This window comes from Homo sapiens, chromosome 7 (assembly GCF_000001405.40).
Source record: "Homo sapiens chromosome 7, GRCh38.p14 Primary Assembly".
NCBI classification, from domain to species: domain Eukaryota; kingdom Metazoa; phylum Chordata; class Mammalia; order Primates; family Hominidae; genus Homo; species Homo sapiens.
The window spans coordinates 67,883,516-67,890,551 of record NC_000007.14 but is presented as its reverse complement, the minus strand read 5'-3'; positions in this window follow the sequence as shown (position 1 = coordinate 67,890,551).

Here is a 7,036-nt window from a genome sequence, read left to right as displayed (position 1 = left end):
GCAGCCGGGTAGAGATGCTCCTCACTTCCCAGATGGGGCGGCGGCCGGGCAGAGGTGCTCCTCACTTCCCAGATGGTGGGTGGGCAGAGGCCCTCATCACTTCCCAGATGGTTGGCAGCCGGGCAGAGGTGCACCTCACTTCCCAGATGGTTGGCGGCCTGGCAGAGGAGCTCCACACTTCCCGGACTGTTGGCAGCTGTGCAGAGGTGCTCCTCACTTGCCAGACTTTGGGCAGCTGGGCAGAGGTGCTCCTCACTTCCCAGACTTTGGGCAGCTGGGCAGAGGCGCTCCTCACTTCCCAGAAGGTTGGCAACCAGGCAGAGGTGCTCCTCACTTCCCAGATGATTGGCAGCTGGGCAGAAATGCTCCTCACTTCCTGGACTGTCAGCAGCTGGTCAGAGGTGCTCCTCACTTCCCGGACAGTTGGCAACGAGGCAGAGGCGCTCCTCACTTCCCAGACTGTGGGCAGCTGGGCAGAGGCGCTCCTCACTTCCCAGATGGTTGGCAGCTGGGCAGAGGTGCTCCTCACTTCCCAGACTTTGGGCAGCTGGGCAGAGGGGCTCCTCACTTCCCAGATGATTGGCGGCCAGGCAAATGCACTCCTTGCTTCCAGGACTGTGGGCAGCTGGGCAGAGGCGCTCCTCACTTCCCAGACGGTGGGTAGGCAAAGGCCTTCATCACTTTCCAGATGGTCGGCAGCCAGGCAGAGGTGTGCCTCACTTCCCAGATGGTTGGCAGCCTGGCAGAGGAGCTCCACACTTCCCGGACCGTTGGCAGCTGTGCAGAGGTGCTCCTCACTTCCCGGACTTTGGGCAGCTGGGCAGAGGCGCTCCTCACTTCCCGGAAGGTTGGCAACCGGGCAGAGGTGTTCCTCACTTCCTGGATGATTAGCAGCTGGACAGAAACGCTCCTCACTTCCTGGACTGTTGGCAGCTGGGCAGAGGCGCTCCTCACTTCCCAGACTGTGGGCAGCTGGGCAGAGGCGCTCCTCACTTCCCGGACCATTGGCAGCTGGGCAGAGGCACTCCTCACTTCCAAGACTGTGGGCAGCTGGGCAGAGGTGCTCCTCACTTCCCAGATGGTTGGCAGCCAGGCAGAGGGGCTCCTCACTTCCCAGTCATTTGGACAGCTGGGCAGAGGCGCTCCTCACTTCCCAGCTGGTTGGCTGCCCAGCAGAGATGCTTCTCACTTCCCAGATGGTTGGCTGCTGGGCAGAGGCGCTCCTCACTTCCCAGATGGTTGGCAGCCGGGCAGAGGCACTTCTCAGTTCCCAGATGGTGGGCAGCCGCCAGAGGCGCTCCTCACTTCCTAGAGGGCTGGCTGCCTGGCAGAGGCACTCCTCACTTCTCAGATGGTTGGCATCCGGGCAGAGGTGCTCCTCACTTCCCAGATGGTGGGCAGCCTTTCAGTTCCCAGACCGTGGTAAGCCAGGCACAAGCGCTCATCACTTCCCAGACAGGGACGCGGCCAGGCAGAGGTGCTCCTCGTTTCCCAGATGGTTGGCAGCTGGGCAGAGGCGCTCCTCACTTCCCAGATTGTGCGGCCGTTGGGCAGAGGCACTCCTCACTTCCCAGATGGTTGGCAGCTGGGCAGAGGCACTCCTCACTGCGTTCCTTACTTCCCAGACAGTGGGCCGCTGGGCAGAGGCACTCCTCACTTCCCACACAGTTGGCAGCCAGGCAAGAGGCACTCCTCATTTCCCAGACAGTTGGTGGCTGGGAAGAGGCGCTCCTCACTTCCCAGTCAGTTGGCCGGCCAGGCAGAGGTGCTCCTCACTTCCCACATGGTTGGCTGCCTGGCAGAGATGCTCCTCACTTCCCAGATGGTTGGCGGCTGGGCAGAGGCGCTCCTCAGTTCCCAGATAGTAGGCAGCCTTTCAGAGGCGCTTCTCAGTTCCCAGACGGTGGTAAGCCAGGCAGAGGCGCTCATCACTTCCCAGACAGGGATGTGGCCAGGCAGAGGCACTCCTCGTTTCCCAGACAGTTGGCAGCTGGGCAGAGGCACTCCTCACTTCCCAGATGGTTGGCGGCCCGGCAGAGGCTCTCCTCACTTCCCTGACAATTGGCAGCCGTGCAGAAGTTCTCCACGTTTCCCAGACAGTTGGCGGCCGGGAAGAGGTGCTCCTCACTTCCCAGTCAGTTGGCCTACCGGGCAGAGGCGCTCCTCACTTCCTGGACAGGGTGGCGGCCAGGCAGAGGCACTCCTCACTTCCCAGACAGTTGGCGGCCCAGTAGAGGCACTCCTCACTTCCCAGACAGTGGGCAGTTGGGCAGTTGGGCAGAGGGTCTCCTCACTTCCCAGACAGTTGGCAGCCAGGCAGAGGTGCTCCTCATTTCCCAAACGGGGTGAAATAAAAATTTTTTAAAAAACACAACATACCGGCTGGGTGCTGTGACTCAGGCCTGTAATCCTAGCCCTCTGGGAGGCCAAGGAGGGCGGATCACCTGAGCTCAGGAATTCAAGACGAGCCTGACCAACATGGTGAAATCCTGTATGTACTAAAAATACAAAAATTAGCCAGGCATGGTGGTGGGTGCCTGTAATCTCAGCTGCTCCTGAGGCTGAGGCAGGAGAATTGCTTGAACCCGGGAGGCGGAGGTTGCAGTGAACTGAGAACGGGCCACTGCACTCCAGCCTGGGCGACAGAACAAGACTGTCTCAAAAACAAAACAAAACAAAACAACAAAAAAAAACCAATGTACCAAAACGTATGGGATACAGCAAAGGCAGTGTGCAGAAGGAAATATTTAATAGTAAATGTTACATTAAAAAGGAAGGAAGATCTCAAATAAATAAGCTAACTCTCTAACATAAGCAACTAGGAAAAGCAGAACAAATTGAACACAAAGCTAGCAGAATGAAGGAAATCACAAAGATTAGCACAGAGAAAAATAAAATAGAGAATATAAAAACAGTAGAGAAAATCAATGAACTAAAAGTTGTTTCTTTCAAACTGACAAACCTTTAGCTAGACTGACAAAAAAGAGAGAGAAAAGAAAACCAACTTAAATCAGAAATGGAAAAGAAGATATATCACTACAGACCTTATATAAATAAGAATTGTAAAGGAATACTAAGAATAACTGCAAACCAAAAAATTAGATAACTTAAGTGAAATAATAAAGTTTCTAGAAATACACAAATTATCTAAATTGACTCAAGGAGAAATAGAGACTCTCAATAGACCATAACATTAAAGAGATTGAATAAGTAGTCAAAATCTCCCAAGAAGGAAAAGTTTACAACCAGCTGGCTTCGACAGTGAATTCTAACATTTAAAGAATTAACATCAATCCTGCTGGGATTACAAAGTGTAATCTCAGCACTTTGGGAGCCCAAGACAGGCAGATCATGAGGTCAGGAGTTTGAGACCAGCCTGGCCAACATGGTGAACCCCATCTCTATTAGTAATACAAAAATTAGTGGGGTGTGGTGGCATGTACCTGTAGTCCCAGCTACTTGAGAAGCTGAGGCATGAGAATCACTTGAACCTTGGAGGGAGGGGTTGCAGTGAGCCAAGATTGGGCGACAGAGCGAGACCTCATCTCAAAAAAAAAAAAGAAAGAAAAAGAAAAAAAGAAAAAGAAAAAAAAAGAAACAGAATTAACATCAATCTTTGTCAAATTCTTCTAAAAATTGAAGAGGATGAAACATTTCCTAACTCATTCTATAAAGCTAGCATTACCCTCAAAGCCAGAAGAAAATAGTACAAGAAAAGAGCATTATAGAATCAAAATCTCTTTTGAATATAGATGCAAATATATGAAATGTACCATTTTAAAGTGTTAACTCTTTAAATTTGACATCATTTTGACATCATTAATTGTATTCACAATAATGTACAATCTTCATCTATTTCCAAAATTTTTCATCACCCCCAAACAAAAACTCTTATCATTCAGCAATAACTCCCAATGAATTCGCTGATTTCCATACATTTGTCTCTGTGAATTTGCTCATTCCAGATAGTATTAGTCAGTTTTCACACTGCTGATAAAGATATACCCAAGACAGGGCACTTCTTACATGGCGGCAGACAAGAGAGAATCAAGAACCAAGTGAAAGGGGTTTCCCCTTCTCAAACCATCAGATCTCATGAGACTTATTCACTACCAGGAGAACAGTATGGGGGAACCACCTCCATGATTCAATTACCTCCTATCGGGTTCCTCCCACAACACGTGGGAATTATGGGAGCTACAATTCAAGATGAGATTTGGGTGGGGACAAAGCCAAAGCAAATCACAGATGTTTCGTATAAGTGGAATCACGTAATGTTTACATTTTGCGTTTTTTATTTCACTCAGTGTGTTTTCAAGGTTCATCCACATTGTAGCATGCATCCAAACTTTGTTCTTTTTATGCCTGAATAATATTCCATTGTATAGATATACCATGATTTGATTATACATTGGTTTTCACCTTTTGTTTCCTTATTTTCACCTCTTGGCTATTATGAATAATCTTGCAATGAACGTTGGCATACAGGTTGTTTGAGTCCCTGTTGTCAGCTTTTCTGGGTATGTATCTAGGAGTAGAATTGCTCGGTCATTTTGTAATTCTATGTTTAGCTTTCGAGGAACTGCCAAACTGTTTCAATAATGGTTGCACAGGCCAGGTGCAGTAGCTCACTCCTGTAATCCCAGCACTTTGGGAGACTGAGATGGGTGGATCACTTGAGGCCATGAGTTTGACACAATGGTTGCACAATTTTACATTCCCACCAACAGTGTACACGGTTCCAATTTCTTAACATACTTGCCAATACTTTTTATTTTCCTTACATATTTTCAGTTGCAGACATCTTAGAAAGTGGTATCTCATTGCACTTAGAAAGTGGTATCTCACTTAGAAAGTGGTAGCTGTTATTTGCATTTCTCTAATGATTAGTGATATTGAGCATCTTTTCATGTGCTTATTGGCCATCTGTCTGCTTTAATTGAAAAAATGTCTATCAAGTCATTTGCCCATCTTTAAAGTAAAATTGTTTGTCTTTTTGTTATCGAGGTATAGAAGTTCTTTGTGTATTTTGGATATTAAACTCTTATCAGATATATGATTTGCGAATACTTCCCCCTTTCTGTAGGTTGTCTTTTTATTTTCTTGATTTTCTTGATAGTGTCTTTTGAAATATAAAATTTTAAAATGTTGATGAAGTCTTTTTTTGTTTTGCCACTTGTGCTTTTGGTGTTAAGGAGATAAAGATATAACTTTATGTCTTCTTCTAAGAGCGTTATAATTTGAGCAAGTACATTTAGGTTTGATCCATTTTGAGTTAATTTTTTTTTTAATGGAGTCTCTCTCTTGTCACCCAGACTGGAGTGCAGTGGCACAATCTCGGCTCACTATAACCTCCACCTCATGGGTTCAAGCAATTCTCCTGCCTCAGCGTCCTGAGTAGCTGGGATTATAGGCACATGCCACCATGCCTGGCCAATTTTTGTACTTTTAGGAGAGACAGGGTTTAGCCATGTTGGCCAGGCTGGTCTCCAACTCCTGACCTCAAGTAATCTGCCCTCTTCGGCCTCTCAAAATGCTGGGATTACAGGCAGGAACCACCGTGCCCAGCTGAGATAACTTTTTTTTTATTATGTGAGGTAAGGATTCAACTTCAGTCTTCTGCACCTAGATACCCGGTTGTCCCAGCATCATTTGTAGAAGAAACTACTCTTTATTCATTGAATGTACTTGGCACCTTTATCAAACATCAACTGGCCAGAGATGTACAGGTCTATTTCTGAACTCCCAATTCTATTTCTTTGATCTATATGCTTGTGATTATGCCAGTACCACAGTATTTTGATTAGTGTAGTTTTAGTCAGTTTTAAAGGGAAAATGAGCTTGTTCGTCATCCATTGGTTGAAAACAAGTGGATAATCAAATCATGGTATATCCGTACAATAGGATATTATTCAGCTATGGGTATAGCACCAGGTGCAAGAAAAAGCAGCTATCAGATGTGGGGTTGATAACAGGTAAGTTGGCTGAAAGTCAGTGCACAGAGCAGGTGCCTCCCCAAACTCCGTGCAGACAAGTAACTACTTTTTTGCAACAGAAAATAAGGAGTTTATTCTCTAGAGAAACCAAACCAGAATAACTCTAAATTCAGGGCATGGGATAGGATGAAGAGCATGGGTGAAGTGCTAAACTAAAAGCAGGAAATAAAATGAAAGTCTGCAAAGTGAATTCATCACCTAAGCCTCTAGCTCATGACCTGCTCATAGCACCTCTACAACTAAAATTTTGATGAATGATGAGGGAAATCTAGAGTGAATGAAGTAGAAGGGAGAGAATACATATTATTAAGTATAAAATAATATATTAATATAGAATTAATACATGGAATAAATATTAACTATGATCTTTGATCAGATACAGCAGTGGGATCTATAGGTTGTTCCAGGAGTATACTTGTATTAGTTTTTTCAGGCTTATGTCTGGCTCCCATCTTGAAGAGGACTCTGTGATGAATGGGATGTCATGAAGAGCTTGAATAAATCTGTATGTTGCAAGGGGTGAGCTATCTCAGACACCTCTTGTACACCATTGCCTAACTCAGTCCTGTGTCTTACTCCAGCTGCTGTTGTAGCCACCAATTCTGAGCAGCGGACTTCCACCAGTTCTGCCCACTGCAACCAGACAGCATCTCACTCCAAGTTCACACTACACACCTCTTACTTCCTACCTTGGAGCTTCTCTGATGTCACGGCATGGATGCCTGTGAGAAATGTGGCACTCTCACGCAGAAAGCAGGAAATAATGAGGAATAAAATCTATGAGACTACCTTGACAAGTGGAAGATGGGATCTGATGGATAAATGCTTCCCCTTTTTGTCTTCCACATGAGGTCCACAGAATGATCTGGTGAGATGGAGCACTTGTAGCCATGGCCAACACCATAGCTCATCTTTGTATTTTTTTCCCCTCTGTCTTTACTCCACTCCCCCAGTCCCTCATTCCTGTCCCCTGGAACAATCCCAATAACTACCTAAATGCATGCTCTTGTCTCATTCTCTGCATTTTTAGAGGGGTCCAA